The sequence below is a fragment of the Homo sapiens genome, chromosome 2, assembly GCF_000001405.40.
Source record: "Homo sapiens chromosome 2, GRCh38.p14 Primary Assembly".
In the NCBI taxonomy this organism is placed as follows: Eukaryota; Metazoa; Chordata; class Mammalia; order Primates; family Hominidae; genus Homo; species Homo sapiens.
In genome coordinates, this window is record NC_000002.12 from 154,281,818 (window position 1) to 154,306,682 (window position 24,865).

General features: G+C 37.9%; 1 protein-coding gene and 1 pseudogene across 20 annotated transcripts in view; both read left to right on the forward strand.

The window, feature by feature from the left end:
- The window catches only part of GALNT13 (polypeptide N-acetylgalactosaminyltransferase 13), a 1,388,282-nt gene that overhangs the window by 1,213,525 nt on the left and 149,892 nt on the right, over positions 1–24,865 (forward strand). For all 20 annotated transcript variants that reach the window (XR_007069045.1, NM_001422882.1, NM_001422883.1 and 17 more), the window contains one exon: positions 19,592–19,772. Coding sequence is in view for 19 of the 20 variants with exons in the window: in NM_001422882.1 (NP_001409811.1) it covers positions 19,592–19,772 (181 nt within the window). In the remaining variant the exon portion in view is untranslated. The remainder of the gene's footprint in view (positions 1–19,591; positions 19,773–24,865) is intronic.
- Positions 4,728–5,694, forward strand: PHB1P4 (PHB1 pseudogene 4; annotated as a pseudogene).

Sequence of the window (24,865 nt, forward strand, 5' to 3'; positions counted from 1 at the left end):
CCCACTCTGCCCCCACCAGCTGCTCCCTCAAAAGTCAGTTGCTAGGCCTTTGGAAAAGCAAAAGATAAAGTATGATTGAGAGGCATCCTTTAAAAAAACCTACTTCAAGGTCAATTTGCTAATTCCTTTAGAAAATGAGTAAGTATGAAAAGGATCATTTTGAATTTGGGGCTTTCAGGAACTTCATTACTAAATTAAGACAGAAAGTACTTGATAAGGGAAAATACTTGATAATTGGACATTTTAGAAGCAAACTGACATTGGTGGGATAAATACATGGGATGGATTCAACTCAGCATTGTCTACGTTTAATGCCAACTTTAACATCTCCAAATTACCCTAATAAGGCTATGACCTGAAAAATTCTCCTAAAGGAGAACAAAAGTGCTCTTCCATTTTTTCTCGTTTTAAAACATCTGTGAGCTTTCTAAACGAGAGGAATTCCCATATTTGAGGGGGAAAAACACATTTATTGCCTCATAATAAGTTTTATAGTCTCAGCTCCTTTATTCTTTCTCTTGTTCATAGAATCATATTTTTATTATATTCTTTTAATACAACTAAAGTAAAATAAGCTTGCCTAAGTAGGAAAAGTTTTATTTAAATTTCGGAGGGTTATATCATTCCCATCTAAAAATATGATCTCTACAAGTGGTTTGTGTACCCTAGGTAAAAAGACTAATCTAAATCATAAATATATGGCCAAAAACACAAAGCCATCATCAACCTCATTCCCTCTTCTTCTGCATGTGAGTTTTCTAAGGACTCTCCAGATTAAATGACTTGTTCCAAATTCTACAATCAGTTTGTGTCTATTTCAAGAACAGAATGCAGCTTTCCAATTTTAAATGTGATGCTTTTTTTATTTTCCATGCAAAATATTTTGTTTAAAAAAAACATTAAATTATCAAGTATTGGAAAGAATCCTCAGGTGTGCTGAATCTCCCTCTGGCTTCTGGCAGGTGACCACTTAAAGGCTACAATAACTTGATGTAGAAAAATCTTCATCTTGAGATGTTATCATTACCTCAGACTTCAACTCTAGCCACCACTCCCAAGTAACATAAATCTAGATTACACTGTGAAGTTAAAAATAGGTCAAGAGTCAACCAAACAACTAAGAAGGCATTCTCTCAATCAAAATGACAATGAAGAAAAAGTGGCAAGTTTCATATCAAGAATGAGGAGAAAAATGCCTACTGTAACCTTTATGTCTGTTCCATTTGAATGACTTTCATGCCTTTTGTGTTTGTGCATGCCAGTTTATCAAGGATCATAGTGCCTTCAGCATCTCAATGAAGGCCTTTTTAGACTTTGTTTCAATTCTAAGAATTACGGGATTTGTCATCAGGCTACTTGAATATATGGAAAGTGGAGAGTTGATATACTGATAGGGATTTTTTTTTATTATTTTTGAAGCAAACAGGAATATGGAACAAAATATTTTGAAAATTAAGTCACCAGTATCTTCAAGTTTTCCCTTTACCAAAATTGAGAAAATAACAGCTGTTTTTCCTGATTCCATTACATGGTAGATACATTTTGTGTGCCTTGTGTAATTTTTCTCATTTTTCTTTATCAATATTAATAGATCAATGATCAATTATTATTGAGCACTGATATGAGCTAAACTTTTTTTAGACTTTGCAAACACTGAGAGAATGGTATCTTTAATTTCTGATTTTTTTACTATATATAAATTATACTTCGAGATCGCACCACTGCACTCCAGCCTGGGCGACAGAGCGAGACTCCGTCTCAAAAAAAAAAAAAAAAATTATACTTCAGTTTCATAATGTAGAAACGTGATGCTTTTTCTTAAAGAGATAACATGAGTGGGGCTATAAGGCTAATATATACAAAATACACACACACATACACACATCTATATGTGTGTGTGTGTATATACACACAAGCACATACACACAGCCTCACATCCACATACATATACATGAACATTTATCTAGATGACAAACTATAGAATTGAGAACTCAATGGGGTGATATAGAGGTAGGTAGATAGTAAGTTCTATAAATCAGTGAAAATTTGAGATCAATGAAACCTATCATAGTCAAAAACTGTTTACAGGAAGAAAACAAATGTGGGCTGTGCCTGATAGGGAGGACATAATAGGTAAGGGAAAGTACGTATATTCTTTTATTTTTATGTTTATTTGTAATTAACACATAATAACTGTGTATATTTGTAAGATACATTGTGTTGTTAGATCTGTGTATACATTATAGAGACAATCAAGTCAATTAACATATCCATCACCTCCCCAACTTATTTTTATATGTGTGATGAGATGTTAAAATTATACTATTTAAGCAATTTTGAAATACAAAATACATCATCATTAACTGTGGTCACCCTGCAGTGCAATAGATCACTAAAACTTATTCTTCCAGTCTAACTGAAGTTTTTTGTCCTTTGACCAACATCTTCTCTTTCCCCATCTCTCCCCGATTCCCTGTAATCTACTTTCTCTTTCTATGAGATTGACTCTTCTAGATTCCTCATGTAAGTGAATTTATAAAATATTAATCTTTCTGTGCCTGGCTTATTTCACTTAGCATAATGTGCTCCAGTTCCATCCATATTATCACAAATAACATAATTCCCTTCCTTTTTTCAGCTGTGTAACATGCCATTGTGCATATATATATATGTGTGTATATATGTATCTGTATACATATAGCTACACACACACACACACACACACACACACACATATATATGTATCTCACATTTTCTTTATCCATCCAGCCATTGATGGCAGGTGCTTTGGTTGCATCTGTATCTTGGCTATTCTGAGTAATGCTGAAATCCACATGAGAATGCAGATATCTCCTTCATATATGAATTTCAATTCCTTTGAATATATACCCAGAAGTGGGATTGCTGGATCATATCGTAATTCCAGTTTTAGCTTATTGAGGAACCATCAAACTATCTCCCAAAATAGCTGTACAAATATACATTTCCACCAACAGTGTACAAGGGTTCCCTTTTCTCCACATCCTCATGTGGAGAGTGAGGATTCGGAGAATAACTGTGAAATATAACACTTATTATCATTCATCTTTTTTATAATAGCCATTCTAATAGATGTGAGGTGATATCTCATGTGGTTTTAATTTCCATGTCTTTAATGATTAGTGATGTTTCACATTTTTTCATAGATGTTAGTGATTCATATCTTTTTTTGAGAATTATCTGTTCAGATCACTTGCCTATTTTGAAATTGGGTTATTAATATTTTTGCTGTTAAGTTGTTTGAATTCCTTGTTTTTGATACTAGCTCTTTATCAGACATATGGTTTGCATATATTTTCTCCCAGTCCATGAGTTGTCTCCTCACTCTGTTGTTTCCTTTGTTATGCAAGAGCTTTTTAGTTTGACACAATTTAATTTGTCTCTTTTTGCTTTTGTTGCCTATACTTTTGGAGTCCTAGCCAAGATATCATTGCCCAGACTAATATCATGGAGTTTTTTCCCCATGTTTTATTTGAGTAACTTTACAGTTTCAAGTCTTATATTTAAGTCTATATTTTATCCAATTTGAGTTGATGTTTGTATATGGTGTGAAATAGTACAGTTTTATTCTTTTGCATGTGGATATCAAGTTTTCCCAATGTCACATATTAAAGACATTCTCTTTCCCTCATTATGTGTTCTTGCCACCTCTGTTGAAAATCAATTTATAAATACTTAGGTTTATTTCTGGGCTTTTGATTCTGTTTTACTGGTCTATGTGTTTGTTTTTATGCCAGTCCCATGCTTTTTTGATTTATAATAGCTTTATAGTGTATTTTGAAATCAGGAAATGTGATGCTCAAGCTTTGCTCTTTTTGTTCAAAATTTCTTTGGGTATTCAGAGTCTTTTCTGCTTCCATATGAACTTAAGGATTATTTTTTATATTTCTGTGAAAATAACATTGCAATTTTGATAGGTTTTGCATGGAATCTGTAGATTACTTTAGGTAATATGAACATTCTACCAATATTACCTGACCATGGGATATATTTTTATTTATCTATGTCTTCAATTTTTTAGTCAATGTTTTATAATTTTCAATAAACACATCTTTCACCTCCTTGGCTAAATTTACTCCTAAGTATTTTTTATGTTATTGTAAATGGGATTGTTATTTTCCATTTCTTTTTAAGATAGCTCATTATTAATGTGTAGAAATACAAGTGATTTTTGTATTTTGATTTTGTGACCTACAAATTTGTTTATCAGTTCTAACAGTTTTTTTGGTGGAGCTTTTAGGGTTTTCTGCATATAAGATCGTGTCATCAGCAAACAGAGATAATTTCACTTCTTCTTTTCATATATGATGTCTTTAGCTTATTCTTGCCTAAATGCTCTGGCTAGGATTTCAAGTGCTATGTTGAATATAAGTGGCAAGATTGGGCATTCTTGTTGCTGACCTTACAGGACAAGCTTTCAGCATTTCACTGTTGAGTCTGATATTAGCTGTGGCCTTATCATACATGGCTTTTATTGTATTGGGGTACATTTATTCTATACCTAGTTTTTTGAGAGTTTTAAACATAAAGCGATATTGAATTTGTCAAATTTTTCTGCTTCTACTCAGATGATCATGTGCTTTGGGTTCTTCATTTTGTTAGACATGCCTTACAAGAAGTACTAAAAGGAGTTATTCAACCTAAAGGAAAAGATACCCCTAAGTAGAAACAAAAATATATAAAAATATGGTCAGAGTGGATGCAGGTGTGAGAGGGTCCAGCAGAAGGAAACATGGCTGCCAGCATGTTTGAGTCTATTAACAAGTTTGGCCTGGCCTTATAGCTGTTGTAGGAGGCATGGTGAACTCTGCCTTATACAGTGTGCATGCTGGACACAGAGCTGCCATCTTTGACTGATTCTGTGGCATACAGGACATTGTGGTACAGGAAGGGACTCACTTTCTCATGCCATGGGTACAGAAACCAATTTTCTTTAACTGATGTTCTTGACCATGTAATGTGCCAGTCATCACTGGTAGCAAAGACTTACAGAATGTCAACATCATACTTTGTATCCTCTTCTGGCCTGTTGCTAGCCAGTTTGCGCACATCTTCACCAGCATCGGAGAGGACTACAATGACTCTGTGCTGCCATCCATCACTACCAAGACCCTCAAGTCAGTGGTGGCTCACTTTGATGCAGGAGAACTGATCACCCAAAGAGAGCTGGTCTCCAGGCAGGTGAGTGATGACCTTACAGGTCATCTTTGGGCTCATCCACCCACCTTTGGGCAAGCAGCCACCTTTGGATGGCATGTCCTTGACACATCTGACCTTTGAGAAGGAGTTCACAGAAGCGGTGGAAGCCAAACAATTGGCTCAGCAGGAAGCAGAGAGGGCCAGATTTGTGGTGGAAAAGGCTGAGCATCAGAAGAAGGCAGCCATCATCTTTGCCGACGGCAACTCCAAGACAGCAGAGCTGATCCCCAACTCACTGGCCATGGCGGGGACAGTCTGATTGAGCTGTGTAAGTTGGAAGCAGCGAGACATTGCATTCCAGCTCTCATACTCTGGGAACGTCACCTACCTGCCTGTGGGGCAGTCCATGCTCCTCCAGCTGCCCCAGTGAGGGCCCACCCTGCCTTCACCTCTGAGGGCCAACTAGGCCACAGCCCAGTGATTCTTAACAATGCTTCCTTTTGCCCCCACCCCAGATTGGATGATTTCCAAATGACCTGTTTTCTAGTTCATCAATCCTTCTTCTGCTTGTTCTACTTGGCTGTTGAAACCCTCTTTTGAATTGTTATTATTATATTCTTCAGCTCAATAATTCCTGTTTGGTGTTTTCTAATATTTCCTATCTCCGTTTTAACGTTCAGTTTGCTCATGTGTTGCACTCCACACCTCAGTGAGCATCTTTATTACTGTTCTTTTGAACTGCCTATAAAGTAAATTCTATGTCTCCATTTCATCAAGGTTGGCTTCTAGAGATTTATCTTATCTTTTATTTGAAATGTATTTTCCTATTTCTTCATTTTCCTTGACTCTGTGGGATTCAGTACCTTAGATAAAAGAACCACCTCTCCCAGTCTTGCTAGACTGGTCTTGCGTTGGAGATATTCCTCCCAATTAGTATAGCCGGAGATTCTAGGTGCCTCAAAACACTTTGTTTGTCCAACCTGCTTTGCTTTTATTGGTCCCTGTATTAGTCCGTTCTCACACTGCTAGTAAAGACATACCCAAGACTGGGTAATTTATAAAGGAAAGAGATTTAATTGACTCACAGTTCCACATGACTGGGGAGGCCTCACAATCATGGTGGAAGGCAAAGGAGGAGGAAAGTGACATCTTACATGGAGGCAGGAAAGAGCGCTTGTGTAGGATAATGCCCCTTTATAAAACATCGGATCTCATGAGACTTACTATCACAAGAACAGCAGCATGGGGGTAACCACCCCCATGATTCAAGTACCTCCCACCAGATTCCTCCCACAACATGTGGGAATCATGAGAGCTACAATTCACGATGAGATTTGGGTGGAGACAGAGCCAAACCATATTGTTCCACCTCTGGCCCCTCCCAAATGTGAGCCCCTCATGTCCTCACATTTCAAAACCAATCATGCCTTCCCAACAGTCCCCCAAAGTCTTAACTCATTTCAGCATTAACTCAAAAGTCCACAGTCCAAAGTCTCATCTGAGACAAGCCATGTCCTTTCTGCCTATAAGCCTGTATAATCAAAAGCAAGTTAGGTACTTCCTAAATACAATGGGGGTACAGTCATTCAGAAAATACGGCTGTTCCAAATAGGAGAAATTGGCCCAAATGAAGAGGCCTACAGGCTTCATGCAAGTCTGAGATCCAGTGGGGCAGTGAAATCTTAAAGCTCCCAAATGATTCCGTTGACTCCATATCTCACATCCAGGTCTTGCTGATGCAAGAGGTGGGTTTCCATGGTCTTGCGCAGCTCCACCATTGTGATTTTGCAAGGTACAGGGTACAGCTCCACTCCTTACTGCTTTCACAGGCTGGCACGGAGTGCCTTTGGCTTTTCCAGGACATGGTGCAAGCTGTTGGTGGATCTACCATTCTAGGGTCTGGAGGACGGTGGCCCTCTTCTCACAGATCCACTGGACAATGCCCAGGGGGGACTCTGTGTGGGGGCTTGCACCCCACATTTCCCTTCCACACTGCTCTAGCAAGAGGTTCTCCCTGAGGGCTGCACCCCTGTAGCATACCTCTATCTGGACATTCAGGCATTTTCACACATCCTCTGAAACCTAGGCAGAGGTTCCCAAACCTCAATTCTGGACTTCTTTGCACCCACAAGCCCAACACCATGTGTAAGCCACCAAAGTTTGGGGCTTGCACCCTCTAAAGCAACAGTCTGAGCTCTACATTTGCCCCTTTTAGCCATGGCTGGGATGCAGAGCACCAAGTCCCAAGACTGCATAAAGCAATAAGGCCCTGGGCTGGCCTATGAAAAATTTTTTTGTCCTAAGTCTCCAGGCTTGTGATGGTACCAATTTACTATATTAGTCCATTCTCACACTGCTGATAAAGAAATACCCGAGACTAGGTGATTTATAAAGGAAACGGGTTTAATTGACTTACAGTTCCACATGGCTGGGGAGGCCTCACAAAATGGCAGAAGGCAAAGGAGGAGCAAAAGCACATCTTACAAAGCAGCAGGCAAGACAGCTTGTGTAGGGGAACTCCCCTTTATAAAACCATCAGATCTCATGAGACTTACTCACTTTCAAGAGAACAGCACAGGAAAGACCCACCCCCATGATTCAATTACCTCCCACTGGGTTCCTCCCACAACACATGGGAATCATGGGAGCTGCAATTCAAAATGTGATTTGGGTAGGGACACAGCCAAAGCATATCAATCCCCAAGAAATTAGTGATTGCCAAGTCATGCTATTGCCTTGAGAGAGTTGGAATAGCACCCAGTCTCTTGGGATTCAGCTAGAGAGGCTACAGTGTTAGAGGTGTGTTCCAGTTTCTTATTTTCTTGCAGAGAAGCTGAGAGCCAAAGTTTGTCCCACTTATTCTGTCCTTCACCAAGGAGACAGCCTGAAGCAGCTGCCTCTGCTCATAATCAGAATGCTCACTTTGAGTCTAGTGAGAGAGATGCTGAATATTTCCAAGTTTAAAAGTCTTTTCTTGTTCCCTGTGGTCTAGGAGACTCAGGAGTGCAGAGCTCTGTCAACTCCCATAGCTAGGTGATTTAAGAGCCATTCTCTTGGGTAAAGGCTATAAAAGTTGGGGCACTCAATGCATGCACAAGCTACTCCCAGTGAGAGTCTGCATATCTAGATTTACTGCCGGGGCAAGTCAGGGAAAAATATGCAGGGAGAGCCCACTCTCCCATTCAAACAAGTGGAAGTCTCACACCCTCCTAGCAGGGGAAGAATGTAGTCCAGAATTATCACTGAAACAAAGCAGGGAAGAAGGTGCAGGGAATGCCTACTTTTCCATTCAGGAATGAAGAGGTCCTCCAGTCTCTCTTTAATGAGAGATTGCAGAAATTTATCTCAAAAGCAAGCCAAGGAAGGAAGCAAGGGGCATGCCCACTCTCCTGTTAAGGCAAGCCGAACTTTTACATCTCTCTTGCCGGGGTAGACTGAGATTACAGGAATTTATCTTAGGAGCAAGCCAGAGAAGAATGTACATACAGGACATGCCTTCCTTTCTGTTTAAGCTGGAGGCGGCTTATTCTTTATTGGCTATGTAGGTTCCCAGATACTGGCTTGTTAAAAGGCCAGAACCACAGGAAGCTGATAGGAAAGCCTGAGACCAAATTTGGGGGAATTTAGAAGCTGGGCCAATCCTCAGTGCTATAGCTGCTAGGAGGGCTCATGTTGTGTCCAGAATTGGTGGATTCTTGGTCTCACTGACTTCAAAAATGAAGCTGCGGACCCTTGCAGTGAGTGTTACAGTTCTTAAAGATGGTGTGTCTGGAGTTTATTCCTTCTGATGTTCGGACGTGTCTAGAGTTTCCTCCTTCTGGTGCGTTCATGGTCTCACTGGCTTCAGGAGTGAAGCTGCAACCTTCACAGTGAGTGTTACAGCTCTTAAAGGTGGCGCGTCTGGAGTTGTTTGCTCTTTCCGTCCAGAGCTGTTCGTCCCTCCCGGTGGGTTCGTGGTCTCGCGGGCTTCAGGAGTGAAGCTACAGACCTTCTCGGTGAGCGTTACAGCTCATAAAGGCAGCCCGGACCCAAAGAGTGAGCAGCAGCAAGATCTATCGTGAAGAGCAAAAGAACAAACCTTCCACAGCGTGGAAAGGGACCTGAGTAGGTTGCCGCGGCTGGCTTGGGTGGCCTTTTATTCCCTTATCTGGCCCCACCCACATCCTACTGATTGGTCCATTTTACAGAGAGCTGATTTGTCCGTTTCACAGAGAGCTGATTGGGCTGTTTTCACAGAGTGCTGATTGGTGCATTTACAATACTTTAGCTAGACACAAAATTTCTCCAAGTCCCCACCAGATTAGCTAGACACAGAGCACTGATTGGTGCGTTTACAAAACCTTTAGCTAGACACAGAGTGCTGATTGGTGTGTTTACAAAACCTCTAGCTAGACACAGAGTGCTGATTGGTGCATTTACAATCCTTTAGCTAGACAGAAAAGTTCTCCAGGTCCCCACCCTACCCAGAAGCCCAGCTGGCTTCACCTCTCAATGGCACTCGCTGGGGGACTTTGCGGCACCTAGCCTGGGCACTCTGGCAGCCCAGAGAGAGCTTGTCCCCCAGTCAAGCCCAGCAGGTGCTGGCCGGCCACGCTGGGTGCGGGGCCCACCGAACCCATGCCCACCCAGAACCCGGCCGGCCCACGGGTGCTGCGTGCAGCCCCAGCTCCTGCCCGCACCTCTCCCTCCACACCTCCTGGCCAGACCAGGGAGCTGGCTCCCGCCTTGGCCAGCCCCAGAGAGGGGCCCCCACAGCACAGCGGCCTGCTGAAGGGCGCCTTGAGCTCAGCAAGAGCGGACGCTGAGGCCGAGGCCGAGGAGGTGCCGAGAGCAAGCGAGGACTGCTAGCACGTTGTCACCTCTCGATGTGATTCAAACCTTTTTGTTTTTTCCTTTTATGTTTGAGATAAATCTTCTGATGCCCTCTCCCTGTGGTTCATCAAGCATGGTGATTGAAGAGCCGAGCCCTCTGTAAAGACTGCAAAAGTTGGCACTTTATGTGTCGTACAAGCAAGCCCCTTACCCCTCAGGAAGAAGCTGGTAGTTGAGATTTTTCCTCTCAATTGTAAGGCTCTGTGCTCTGGGTGGAGCTAGTGTATGAGTGTATTTCTGCTTTCAATATCCATTTTGATGTGAGTATTTCTCAGTAGTCTGGCATGTACGGGTCTTTCATCTGGATTTTGGCTTTCTCTTGGAGAGAACTGACTCATGTTTAGGTGTATACTAGATGTGTCTGTGGGATGAGAGGTAGCCCAGAGCCTGCTCTTTCACCATGTTGCTGACATACCCTCATATATTATTTCATAATTTTAATTTCCCAAATTGTATCAAGTTATTAAATTCCTCTCTATTTCACTGCCATCACCTTGGGCAAAGTCATTATCATCTCTGTTCTAGATTGTTGCAATAACTCCTCAATAAATCACTCATTTACTCAATTCCAATTCATTGCCAAATAAAAGCTAAGTATCTTTATGTGAATTAGTTTGCCTTAATCCTCATAACAATATTATTTTACCAGGTTTGCTGGGCTAGATTCTTCTAGTTTCATTTTATTATCTGAGACCCAAATCACAGAAAAATGACATAACTGAGGTCACCCAGCTAGTAAGTTGCAGAGCTAGGATATAATATCAGGAGCTATAGCCTCTACTCATAATCATTGTACTATATGGTCTCCATTATTATTTGTTTTCAATAAGACTATATTAAAGGATGACTTCGTGCCAGAGGTAGTATGTTTATGGGTTAGGGGAAAGATAAAGATTAATATAAAAACAAGCAGCTGCATGAATTTGGTACAACAGCTGTAAAATTAGAAACAATAGTAGCACTGGAACTGACATTGCAAAGTGGAGCTTATGAAGTTTATGAACTTTAATTAAAATGTCACTGATGTGGGTGCCAAAAATCATGAAAAGGATAAAGTATGTTCGTTAATTGTCTCCTAGCAGGGGAAATAGAGTAGATAATCAAATGAGCAATGGGCATTTTACATTTTGATTAAGAACCTTCTCCATCATAAGACATTTATAAAAATATCTGAGAACAAAGACAAGCTTTAATTCCCTGTGGATAATAGGATAGTTTATATTGTATACATGGTCAAATTTACTTGAAAGAGATAAAATATAAAATATTAATCTGTTGAAAGCCTAGAAAATAACAATCTGATATACTCAGTGATACAAAGTAATTCAGATATCACTTGTTCATGTGAATGAGACATCATGTTTTATTCAGCTTATACAGTTTGTTCAGACATTGTAAAATAATTTCAGGGAATAAAATGCGGTATTCTAATTAGAAGCTAATAGACTATTATTTTAGACTCCACACAGTGTACATAACTCCTGGACATTGATGTTGTAATTTTAAAGAAACACAACATTTTTAAGACCTGAATAAAATTCTTTTTAAAAAGCAAGAATCAGCGAGTAATCTATAGATGTTGATTTCCCTGAGAAATTATGGCAATAAAAGTTAAATAATATCCAAGTATCATTTTACTTCATCCCATATCAAGTGCCAGGCATAGTTCCTTGTTTCTTTACACATAAAATCTTGTTAGAGTCTTGGAAGTAGTCATTATTATTCCCACTTTCCACTGGGAAAGTTAAGGCCTTGAAGACTTAAATAATAATTTTCACAAGTATACATAGCATGTGACAGAGCCTGTAGAAAAATTCTGTTTGCTTATTTCATAGCCCAAGTTCTTAATGACTGGGTCATAATGTTCCTTCTTTCTTTTCTCACTGCCTTTTAAAATGTTGAGGGTACAATAAAGGAAATTATCGAGGTAGTCATTGTGGACTCCACTCAATTTGAGTTCTTTCTGCTTTAACATTTATTTTTTTCACATTACCGTGGAGTCTAAATATATGACATTTATCTGGTCAATATTTCATAAGTTAAATGTTTTATTCTTGTATTAGCTTAGTATTACTATGAGTAGATATTAACTTAGTATTACTATGAGCCTAATTAATGCATAGTGTTATGCATTTCTACCTTAATCTTTTTATTTTTGTGCAAATTTTGAGGAGAGGCTTTACCTAGGAAATGCAATATCAGCATTTATCTACACATTCTGTGAGCACAGATGGCTGATGGGAGAAGCACTCACATTATTTCAAGAGTCAGTAGCCTATGGCATACAGGCAAAACATGAGCCAGTATCCATTGAGTTATGGAACAGTTGCCACCACTTCTTTGTATCTATCCTCAATATATTTAAGAAATGCCTTTATCTGTGAGAATCAAAGTCAGACAGGTTTTCCTTGTCTTACAAATATCAATGCTTGCAGCATTATACCTGTATATGTACATAAAAATGTCATTACATGTCAGGAGAATAACATAAAATCTGAACTTTCGTATATCCTTATCTTTGCCAATTAAGATGGAAAGGAGTGAGACCATTGGAACCCTACTTTAAAAGATTTCAAACCAGATTTCATTTCCTGTTCTGTGTGCACGTTCAGGATGTAGGGGAAAACAAAACAATATCTTTTCCCTGCCTGTCACAAGGTTTATGACCAACACTCTTATGAAAAAGACAGACAGATTCACAAAAGGAAATCATGACAAATTTATTTAACCCAAGTTTTATGTCAAATGAGAGCCTTCAGAAATGAAGACCTAAAGATCCAAGAATTTTCATCCTTAAGCATTTGTTTCATAACTCAATGACACTTTTATCCTTAGGATCCAAGAAGAATGGACAGTCATATAGAAGTATGATTGGACAAAAATTAAGTGTGATCTAATGGAATTAAAGGAGGCAGGGCACTTAGCAAGGTCTGTTTGTTCAGATTCTTCTTGGCCTGCAAATATAGGGCAGAACCCCTGTGAAACTAGAGTCTTATGATCTTCTTTTAGGAAAAGTAAGTCAGAGAATTTCTTTATGGCTATACTTCAGGGTAGAAAGGTGGGAGAAGGTCAGAATGGCCTCCTGGCTACGGCAGTTTTTTCAGTTGCCAACTTGACATATTTTGGAGTATTATGTTCAGAGCCCTGATATTGGCAGAGAACCAATAAACCCACAACCTATGGGAGGACCAAGAAGCAACAGAGTGGAAATAAAGAGCCCTGTGCATCTAACTCACACAACCATAGTGCTAATCCATATTTATAGAAAGGCAAATGGAGAGTCATGAGGACAACTGTCAGTCAGTAGTTTATATTAAACAGGGCTTAGTCTGAATTTAGTGGAGTACAGATTTAAAATGACTTTTTTCCCCCCAATTATTGCTTTTATGCTCTGAAGAATACTCATTTTCAGTCCTTAATGTTATTTAGCACTGATTTTATAGCTTTGTAATCACTTCTCGTTATTGAAAATTCTTTTTATTTTATTTATTTATTTATTTATTTATTTATTTTTGCGATGGAGTCTCTCTCTGTCACCCAGGCTGGAGTGCAGTGGCGCGACCTTGGCTCAATGCAACCTCTGCCTCCCGGGTTCAAGTGATTCTCCTCCCTCAGCCTCCCAAGCAGCTGGGATTATAGGCACCCACCACCATGTGCCCAGCTAATTTTTTATTTTTTTATTTTTAGTAGAGACGAGGTTTTACCATGTTGGCTAGGCTGGTTTCAAACTCCTGACCTGAGATGATTGGCCCACCTGGGCCTCCCAAAGTGCTAGGATTACAGGTGTGAGGAACCATGCCCAGCCATTAGAGAAAGCTCTAATGTCCACTGTAAAGCCTTGATTTTTGTAGGCACACATAGCTCACATTCTCTTCTCTCCCTAGGCCCATGATGAAAGAGGAGCTTGGAATGAGAGAGGGCAGGGGTTTGTGGGTTGCCTTCCCCAATGGGTAGGGTGAAATGGGAAGGCTAGAAAAACGGCAGGTCTTTTCTGATAAGTTTGATGATGGCTTGCCGTTGTTGGCTTCATATGGTTCCACTTGCTATTGGTGGCCTTACCCAGGTGATTATCTTCTATACATAGTTTTACTGTTTTCTTAAAACTGTGCTCAGCTTCAGCCTTTATTTCTTCTCTTTTCCAAGGGCCTTTTGGAGAGGAAGATCTTAGTCTCTATTTCACCCAACTGCCTTTCTCAAAGTGTGCCTCCTTGCTGATCTGCCATATTGTTAGTCCCATAGCTCATTCTTTCTTTTCTATGTTCCATGCTCTATAGAGCCCAGAAATGACTGAGGTCTTGTCCAGATGCTATTAAAGACCACTTCCTCCAAGGTTCACTGCATCACTGGACCTATCAATTCTGCTGGAACAACCTGTAAAATAAACCCCAACCATAGCTTCAGAATTCACTAGATTGGGAGTGGTCTCTCTTTTACTAGGGTCATGTAGCTCTCTGAACACATTCTTCTCTGCTCTAAAGGCAGCACCAGGATAACGTGCTAATTTGCTGTACAACTGTCCAGCTGGGAGAGAAATACCAGTCTCTCCATTCAGTTAGCTCCCTTGTTTGGGTGAAGGAGGAAAGAAGCTCTTCATTTATGAGTATTCCATAGGAAGGGAGGGAAAAGCCTCTTTACCAAACACCTTGCATTTTTCACAATAAAGAGAAGACCTTAAATTCCGTCTCATGTATAACAAGTCGTGTCATTTCTTCTGAAATTGGAGCACCTTTCCTGGTCACAGAATGAATGTTGAGTACTCTACTAAATCATGTCTGAGAGAGAGAGAGGAATACAAATAAACAAGTTACAGATTGTGGTAAGCAAAGAGGGAACTAAACAGGGTTCTCTTAGAGAAAATAACTGGGGTGGGGCTACTTTATTTTTATTTTATTTTTTTAAAGATTCTTTTTTTTTGTTATTATACTTTAAGTCTGGGATACATGTGCAGAATGTGTAGGTTTGTTACATAGGTATACACCTGCCATGGTGGTTTGCTGCATCCATCAACCCGTCAGCAATTGGAGAAGACCTCTCTGATGAAGTGATGTTTCAGCTGAGATGACAAGTATGGCAAAGAGGTAGCCAAGGTGAAGTGCTGACAGAATTGTATTCCGGGTACAGGGGAAGGAGATTTGAGAATTTGGTGTGTGAAAAGGTATGTGGTATGTTATTCTAGAATGTGGCAGAAGGCCAGTATCACCAGTGTTTTTTGACAGAGAGGGAGAATAAGGTATGGTCTTAGAGGCCCTGCTAAAGGATTTTGTTTATATTCACAGTGCAATGAGAAACCATTCAAGGATTTAAGCAGGGAAGTAAAATTAAGTAATTAAATTTTTAAAAGACCACTTTGATTTCTCACTACAAAACAAATTGCAGAAAGCAACACTGAAAGCAGCAAGACAATTAAGAGTCTGTTGAATTGACAGATAAGAGATGCTGGTGATTAGGACAAGGATGGTGGCCGCGGAAACAGAGAGAGGGCTCCCACAAAATTCATGTATTGAAGCCTTCAATTACTGCCTCACATATGGCCTGTGAGGAGGGAATTGAAGATAAATGAGGTCAGAAAGGTGGGGTCCTAATTTGATAGGACTGATATCCTTATAAGAAGAGAAAGAAATACCAGACTGCTCTCTCCATGATGTAAGGACACAGCAAAAAGATAGTCATCTACAAGTCAGCAAGAACACCCTTATGAGGAACTGACCATGCTGGCACCTTGATCTTTAACTTCCCAGCCTATAGAACTGTGAGAAAGAGATTTCTGTTGTTTAAGCCTCCCAGGATTTTGTTATGGCAGCGCAAGCAAACGAAAACAGATGGCTATATGGAGAATTATTTTACAGATAGCACTACTAGGATTTAATAATAGATTGCATATGCATACAGATGATGAAAGAAATAAGTCAATGATATGTTCTAGTTTTATTTAGTTATTTATTTTACTTTACTTGTGTATTTATTGGTTTGACTATCTGGGTGAATGTTGGCACCATATACTATCAATTGGAAAAAAAAAATAGAAAAAAATAAGACCTGGCTGACAGAACAGGGGTGAATCAACAAACCAAGTTTGAACATTTCTGTTTGTATGTTTCTGGGACATACAAGAGGAGGTATCAAGTAGATGTATGGATACACAAGTCTGGATCCCAGAAAAGAGGTCTGGGCTGAGATGTAAATTTGAGATTGTTGGCATGCAGGTCCTATGTAAATTAATAGTAACAAGTGAGACCACCCATGAAATGTATAAAGAGAGATGAAGGCCAACATTTAAATATAAATTTAAAGTAAAAATGGATAAACATATAAGAAGAGGAAAATCAGGAGACTCCAAGAAAACAGTCAACAAGATAATAAATGCATCAAGGGATATTTGTTATTTTGACCAGAGGAATTGTGAGGAGCTACATAAATAAACAGTATTTTTTACAGTAGGTCAAAAACGAATGTAAATTGAGGAAGGGAAAGAACATATATCACTAAATACATATATAATATCACTAAATTACATAAATATAATTTATATAAATATATAATTTATATATAAATATATATGAAATATATATAAATTATATATAATTTATATATACATATATAAATTATATATAAATTATATATAAATTATATATACATATATAAATTATATATTATATATAAAATTGTATATATTTATATATAAATTGTATATATAATTTATATATAAATTGTATATATAATTTATATATACAATGTATATATTAATTTATATATACATTGTATATATAATTTATATATACATTGTATATACAATTTATATATACATTGTATATACAATTTATATATACATTGTATATACAATTTATATATAAATTATATTATTTATATATAGTATATATAAATATATATACTATATATAAATTATATATTTATTTATATATTATATTATTTATATATAAATTATATATTATTTATATATACATTATATATAAATTATATATTATTTATATATACATTATATATACATTATATATTATTTATATATACATTATATATTCATTAGAATCTTAATTGTCTTTCTGCTTTCACTGTTGTTTCCTAAGAACATGTATCGCTAATATGCTAAAATTACATAATTCATAATTCTACCGTAACAAAAATATAAAATATATATTACAGATACAAATATATTATATATAAAATATAAAATGTAGATAAAATATATATTTTATATTATTTAATGGTAAAAGGAAACAGATAGGATATAGATATTAAACAATTGATTTTTTGTGTGTTTTATAAATTTTTGAAGCTATTTGAAAGATAGACGACTTTAGAAGGTATTATGCAAAGATAGGCATAATCTAGTAATGAGAAACGTTAATATTTCAGGAGAAAAGCAAGGGAAATGACTAAATTAGTGACATCCTTAAGAAAGATACAAGGGATATAATGGAGGACTGAAAAAGAATATTGATTTATCTGTGATAGGATAGCGATTAACTGCCTCCATTTTAACAGGAAGAATGTAAAAATGTGCGTAATCACAAGAAGGTTCATATATTTCATGAAGCTAGGAAGATGAGGAAGTTATCAATCAATGAAATACTTTTTTTTTTTTTTTTTTTGAGACAGAGTCTCACTCTCGCCCAGGCTGGAGTGCAGTGGCGTGATCTCAGCTCAGTGCAACCTCCGCCTCCCGGGTTCACGCCATTCTCCTGCCTCAGCCTCCAGAGTAGCTGGGACTACAGGCGCCCGCCACCATGCCTGGCTAATTTTTTTTTTTTTTTCTATTTTTAGTAGAGACAGGGTTTCACTGTGTTAGCCAGGATGGTCTCGATCTCTTGACCTCGTGATCCGCCCACCTCGGCCTCCCAAAGTGCTGGGATTACAGGCGTGAGCCACCGCGCCCGGCCTGAAATACGTTGATTATTTAAGAATGAGCTTCCCTGTCTTTTAAGGGGGAGGAAGGTTTCTATTCTTCTCGTATATTCATCTGTATTTCAGTGTTTGTTGGACCTATTTTTCTGCTAGCATTACACTGTTTAAAAATTATAAAATAAAAAAATAGATTTACATGAAATGCACAAACCATTATTGATTATTATGACTTATTATTTATCATCTTTTATCTTCTGATAAAAAAAGTGGTTGTCTCTTACTGCTACCCAAGTCCAATAGCAGCTCTTTTCTAAGCTAAATGTTATCTGAAGGGTCAGGTGAAAAGATAGTTTTTTTTTCTTTCTTTCTCTCTTTTTTTTTTTTTTTTTTGAGATAGAGTTTCGCTTTTGTCACCCAGGCTGGAGTGCAATGGCGCGTGATCTCGGCTCACTGCAACCTCTGCCTCCCGAGTTCAAGCGATTCTCTTGCCTCAGCCTCCTGAGTAGCTGGGACTACAGGCGTGTGTCACCACATCCGGCTGATTTTTGTATTTTTAGTAGAGACGGGTTTTTGCCATGTTGGTCAGGCTGGTCTCAAACTCCTGACCTCACATGATCTGCCCACCTCGGCCTCCCAAAGTGGTGGGATTACAAGTGTGAGCCACCGCACCTGGCCAGAAATGGCCAGAAAGATATTTTTCTTTCAAAAAAAGTAACTCTACTTAAATCAGATGTATCAAATGAAAACAATGTTAGTTACAGTATAAAACCATGTTTTCCAAATTTTGTAAAACAGCGACTATGACTTCTATTTATTGTGACAAGAAAACCTGTAGCATATATGTTATATATATATATAATTGTATGTATAGTATTGTGTGTATGCACATATATAGAAATAGTATAAGCTATGATTATACAACATAATTTCATAGAAATCAGTATTTTATGGCTAGTTTGCATAATACTTAGCCTCAAATACACAGTGAATTCTAGGATACTAAGAAATATATGGTATATTTTCTAAGAATTTATAGTTTTAAAGGAGTGATAAGGAAGTGAATAATTGTAATCAGTCCTAAAAGCATGCTTAAAATAAAAAAGGTACACATTACTAAATCTCCCCCCAGAGCTTTCTAGAAGAAATGATCTTGGTGAAGATGAGTTTTGAAGGATATGTAGACCTTGAGCACCTATAAAGGTGCCCTAACACATCTTAATAATAAATCCAAAGGCTTAAGATGCAAGGTATATGACCAGCTTAGAATGAATGATCGTTTATAATTCCAGATGGATGGAGAGTAACTGATTTTTCTCCAAATCAAATTTAGTTTTTGACAATGGCATGTAACATGTACAGATTCATTAATAGCAGATTTGGGTACCAAATCTACTAACTAGCAATTAGGTTAACTACTAGAAACTAGAAATTAGGTATTCTAATAAAGAGACATACATTAAATGTGTCTTACCTCCATAATTCCAATGCTACAAGTATTTAAATATATCAAGATCTTCCAAATTCGCATCCTTTGCCAAAAGTAAGTATAGTGTACCAGTTCTAAATTTTGCATCAGATATTTGCTTGAAACATGTAAAATACGAAGATTTGGCCTAAGCTTCAGTTGCTTCATCTCATACAATATTATTGCATTATTTACAATGATTGTTCCTTTTCCCAGATTTGGCAATGTGGAGGCTCCTTGGAGATTGTTACTTGCTCCCATGTTGGTCATGTTTTTCGGAAGGCAACTCCATACACTTTTCCTGGTGGCACTGGTCATGTCATCAACAAGAACAACAGGAGACTGGCAGAAGTTTGGATGGATGAATTTAAAGATTTCTTCTACATCATATCCCCAGGTACACAATTCTGACATTTTTCTTTCTCTACAGGAGAAAATAAAATTGAAACATACTGAATATGTGTTTCATTATTGCTGTTATTCTTCTAGTTAAAATATTGTTTATTACCATAATATTGCAGAAAACGGCATATGAGAAAGTTGTACTATGAAGTAAATTTTGATGTAAAATAAGAACTGTATTTCAAACACCTAAATATTATCTTTTTTTTTTCTCAACCCAAGTGTTATGCTGGAAAATTGGAGCAAGCCATACAGAGAGATCTATATTTATTATTAACTCGAATTAAGAATATTTTTAAAAATATTTTAGTAGGGGAAGATTAAATGACTTCATACAGAAACAAGATGGAAAATTATGCAGATATTTAAATTTATATTTCTGAAGAACATAGTAAATTATCAATAAATATGTGTGAAAAATAATATGAGTAAAACGTTTTCATACTTTAGTTACAGAGAAGTATATATATTGAAATAGAAGTAAACATAGGCTATCAGTGGGTGGTAGGATTATGGGTAATTCTTTTCCCTATATTTTTATATATTTTCTAATATTCATACATTACTTATTTTAAGAATTGAAAGTCATTAAAAAGGAAAAAAATGAGAAAATCCTATTACTGGGTGGTGGGATTATTAATGATTACATTCTGTATAATTTTCTAGATTTCTGCAATAGCTACATTACTTAAAACAAAAAAAGCCAAAAACTGAAGCATTTAAAAAGGGAGAAAAATAAGGATACAAAAGGACTGTTTTTATATAGGCCTTATGGTCATTAGTGTCATTATTGTCATTATTATGTAACCCATCAGGACAACAACAAAAATCCAGGCCTACATCCTCTTTCTGTAATACAATCTATTAGCTGGCTTAGAAAAGGCTATTTGATTTTAATTGGCATGCTCTGATTTTTGAAGGTATATTTAAGTGTCAATGAAAAGAGTCAAACTCTGTAAAACATTTAGAGCTTTACTCTGAACCAAATTTGAGTGAACCTGGCCCAAGGCACAGTCTGGAGAGTTCCAGAGAACATGTGCCCAAGATGGTTGGGTTATAGGTTGATGTTACACATTTTAGAGAGACATAAGACACATCAGTGAACTCATATGAGGGATATATTGGTTTGGTCAAGTTATTGTCTAAATACCTAGACTCAATAGGAAAGAGTGACTGGGTTAAGATAGGAGGTTGTGGAAACCAAGGTTCTTATTATACAGATGAAGTATCATTGGTGGCCACCTTAGAGGCAATAGTTGGCAAGTGTTTCCTATTCAAACCTTTAAAAGGTGCTAAACTCTCAGTTAATCTTCTCAGGTTTGGGAGGGACTGGAAGGGGAAAGGTCTAGATGCAGATTTTTCCCCTACAAAAGATGTCTTTGCAGGGCCATTTCGAAATATGGCAAAGAAATATACTTTGGGTTCCTTCTTTATCTGTCATATGTTTTTATGCCAGAATGAGATTGGCAATGAAGCGGCTACGTTGTCTGGAGTAAATACTAGGGGTTTGTCCTCTCATGCCAAGAAAATTTAGGACAGGGACACACACGAGGAGTTTAGGAGTGGAGGTTAAATAGGCAGAAGAAAGAAAAAGGAGGACAGCCCTCTCTCTGGTGAGAGAGAGGGCTTCCGAAAGGGAAAGACCACCAGAGTCGGATGCGCGCGATTTTATAGGCAGGCTTGAGGGGGCTGATTTACTGGGGCCCACAGAATGGTTGGATCAGGTGCGCCCTTTACATAGAGTGCGGGAAGGCTGGCCACCCCACCCTAATCTTATTATGCAAATAGACTTTCCACTCCACTGGCGCCATCTTGTCTGCTCCTTACTGTACATATGGCTGCCAAAGAGAAAAGGGAAGATGGAGTCGCTGTTTGGAACATGATTGGCCCAGCTGCTAGCATCTATATCTGCAGTTCAATTTTACAAACTGCTCTTTGTTAGAAAATGATTTTAGGGCTGCTTTTCATTAAAAAGGAAAACCTTACTGAGGACTCCTGTACCCTCACTGCCTAAGTAATTTCATCTTAACTCCTATATCAGCGACTAACCCACATTACACAGGGTTAAATAAACCCATCTAATGAGATTGTATGGTCAATACGGCATGATAGGAACTTGGACAAGAGAGGAAAAGGTCCAAGTTTAGTCCTCATAAGGAAATTCAAACTTTTTTTTTTTTTTGAGTCGGAGTCTAACTCTGTTGCCCAGGCTGGAGTGCAGTGGCGTGATCTCGGCTCACTGCAAACTCTGCCTCCCGGTTCAAGGGATTCTCCTGCCTCAGCCTCTCCAGTAGCTGGGATTACAGGCACCCGCCACCATGGCCGGCTAATTTTTGTATTTTTACTAGAAACGGAGTTTCACCATGTTGGCCAGGCTGGTCTCGAACTCCTGACTTCCAGTGATCCGCCTCAGCCTCGCGGAGTGCTGTGATTACAGGCTTGATCCACCGCGCCCGCAAAAACTTTTTTATATATAAGTACCTAGAAGAGAAGGAGCAGAAGGAGCAGTATGAAGTTTCTTATTAAGATCCAGCATCGCTATATAAAGAATGGGGGCATTGTATGTTTAAGTGTGTGATTAGGAAAAGGACTTTTTCACACGTTTTCAAGCCTCTTCTATGTTAAAAAGCTATTACGAGGAACACCATTTCATGCATAGATGTATTTCCCTTTACAGTAGAAATCTAGTCCATATGTTCAGAGTTGAATTCAGCAAGAGCATGTAATATTCAAAGCAAGGCAGTGACATTTATATAACCTTTTCATTTTCTTTTGATGATACTTTTTGAATTCAAATCATTACTTGTAGAAATATATAAGTTCAAATATGAATAAAGGAGTAATGGAGGAAAAAAGTGTGTTATGTGTGATTGCATGCAATGTACATTCAGGAATATGAGTAATTGAGAATAATTGTAATCACATGTATTATATTCATCCATGATGAATATTTGTGAAAAGTAATGTGCTAGTCTTTTGTATAATTTTCCACTGAATGAAAAAGGCAGATAAATGATGGAACCATTTCTCAAATTATAATGAAATGAATAACTTTAGAATGTAAAGCATGGGAAAAAATGCCTGCTATCTGGAACTAATGACTTTATGTTGCACAATAGGGACTGTTTGTATATCCTGGAAAGTGCAGTTTTTACATTACAATAAATAATATTTGGGGTTATTGTTTTATAAAATGGATTTATTTAAATGTAGAAAAGTAGTTTGGGAGGCAGAACAAGGACTTTTGGGGAATGTGTTGAAGATATCTAAGAACTTCCTAAAGGGCGTTTATGTTTACGTGTGTCTCAGAGACAGTCAGTGCAGCTAAGCAATGTAGAATCCACCAGCAATAGTGTGGGCAGAGGGAGGAAACCCCAAACCTGAAACACAAAACAATGAATTGCTTCTCCCTGAAAAAGGAAGAATGGACGCAGGCTAGAAACTAGTACTGGATGTCTAAAACAATTTGAGCCCTGGGAAGATTTCAGATCATCCAAAAACAGATAAAACAGGTTGCATTCAGGAAGTCAGAAATCTATTATTTTTATGACAACAATTTCAGCCATTGTTAATTTAGGCTAAAACAGCAGTGGTCATTTTAATTTAAAATCAAAATCATACACTTCTTTGCTATCCTCTGGAATTTTTGATTTTCTGTTTTTCATCACTTTGGGAATGGGTGAGTTTGTAAAGAGAGAATCTGGTGTGTGTGTTCAGGAAGGAGGGGTGGGAGCTACATGCATTCACATCCACAGTTAGAACTATATCCTTTACTATAATACACATGCACACACAAACACACACACACACACGCGTATTTATGAAAAACTCTAAAGAGTTTATGAGTTTATATTGAGCTTCTCAGAACTTCCTTAACATGGTGAAATAAATAATACTTGTTCTTTCTAGAAACTCCTCTATATATTTGTTAATTTTTCCAATATGTTTTGTGAGATTTCTACTTTTTACATGTGGGCTTCTACTCTGAGATTTTATTCTTCACTTAGGCAGTTTCTCAAACTTCAGTCTTTAAGTGCTGAGCCTTTATAACTTGAATTATGACAATAACTTACTTACTTTCAATATACTCTATAAAATATCACCTGACTACTGTATTGGTTGGCTTCAGGAATGTTTCAGCTCTATCTGTCTTGAACTGTCTGGGCATTCTTTCTCTCTTTGTATTCCTTGAAGTTTGATAACATGGGCAAACCATCATCACTTCTTACCATATTGTTTTAATTTTTATTACTTGTCTCTATATCCAAAGTAGTTCAGAGACAACTATTTACAGTGCCTAGCAACTTTCCTGTCATTTTGTTTAAAAAAATTTTGTTGAATAACTGGAAGAATGAATGAATGAATAATTTTTAAAAGAGAGCCACATTTGTTTCTTTCTGCTGAATTATCCATGGGTGTCTGGTTTATACCAGGGAGACTCTTCACAAGAATTGTGGCAAATAAGCCTTTGTCCCACCTCTCTGATCCAGCCCTGGATAAGGACCCACTGTTAAAAGAGAGGTGAAGGGTCTTCCTCATAAATCTCTTTTATTATTATTATTATTATTATTTTATACTTTGAGTTCTGGGATACATGTGCAGAACATGCAGGTTTGTTACATAGGTATACACGTGCCATGGTGGTTTGCTGCACCCATTAACCCGTCATCTACGTTAGGCATTTCTCCTAATGCTATCCCTCCCCTAACCCCCAACCCCCAACAGGCCCTGGTGTGTGATGTTCCCCTCCCTATGTCCATGTGTTCTCATTGTTCACCTCCCACTCATGAGTGAGAACATGCAGTGTTTGGTGTTCTGTTCCTGCGTTATATCATTCTGTAACCACACAGCAGGTTCTCCTTGCCCACTGCCCAGACATAGCTGATTTATGAAGACAGGGGAATTGCAATAGATAAAGACTTTAAGTCACATAAAGCTGGCTGTACAGGAGATCAGAGTTTCATTATTACTCAAATCAGTCTCCCTAAAAATTCAGGGATCAAGGTTTTTAAGGATAATTTGGTGGGGGGGGGGTCAAGAAATGGGGAGTGCTGATTAGTCAGAGATGAAATCATAGGGTATTGAAGT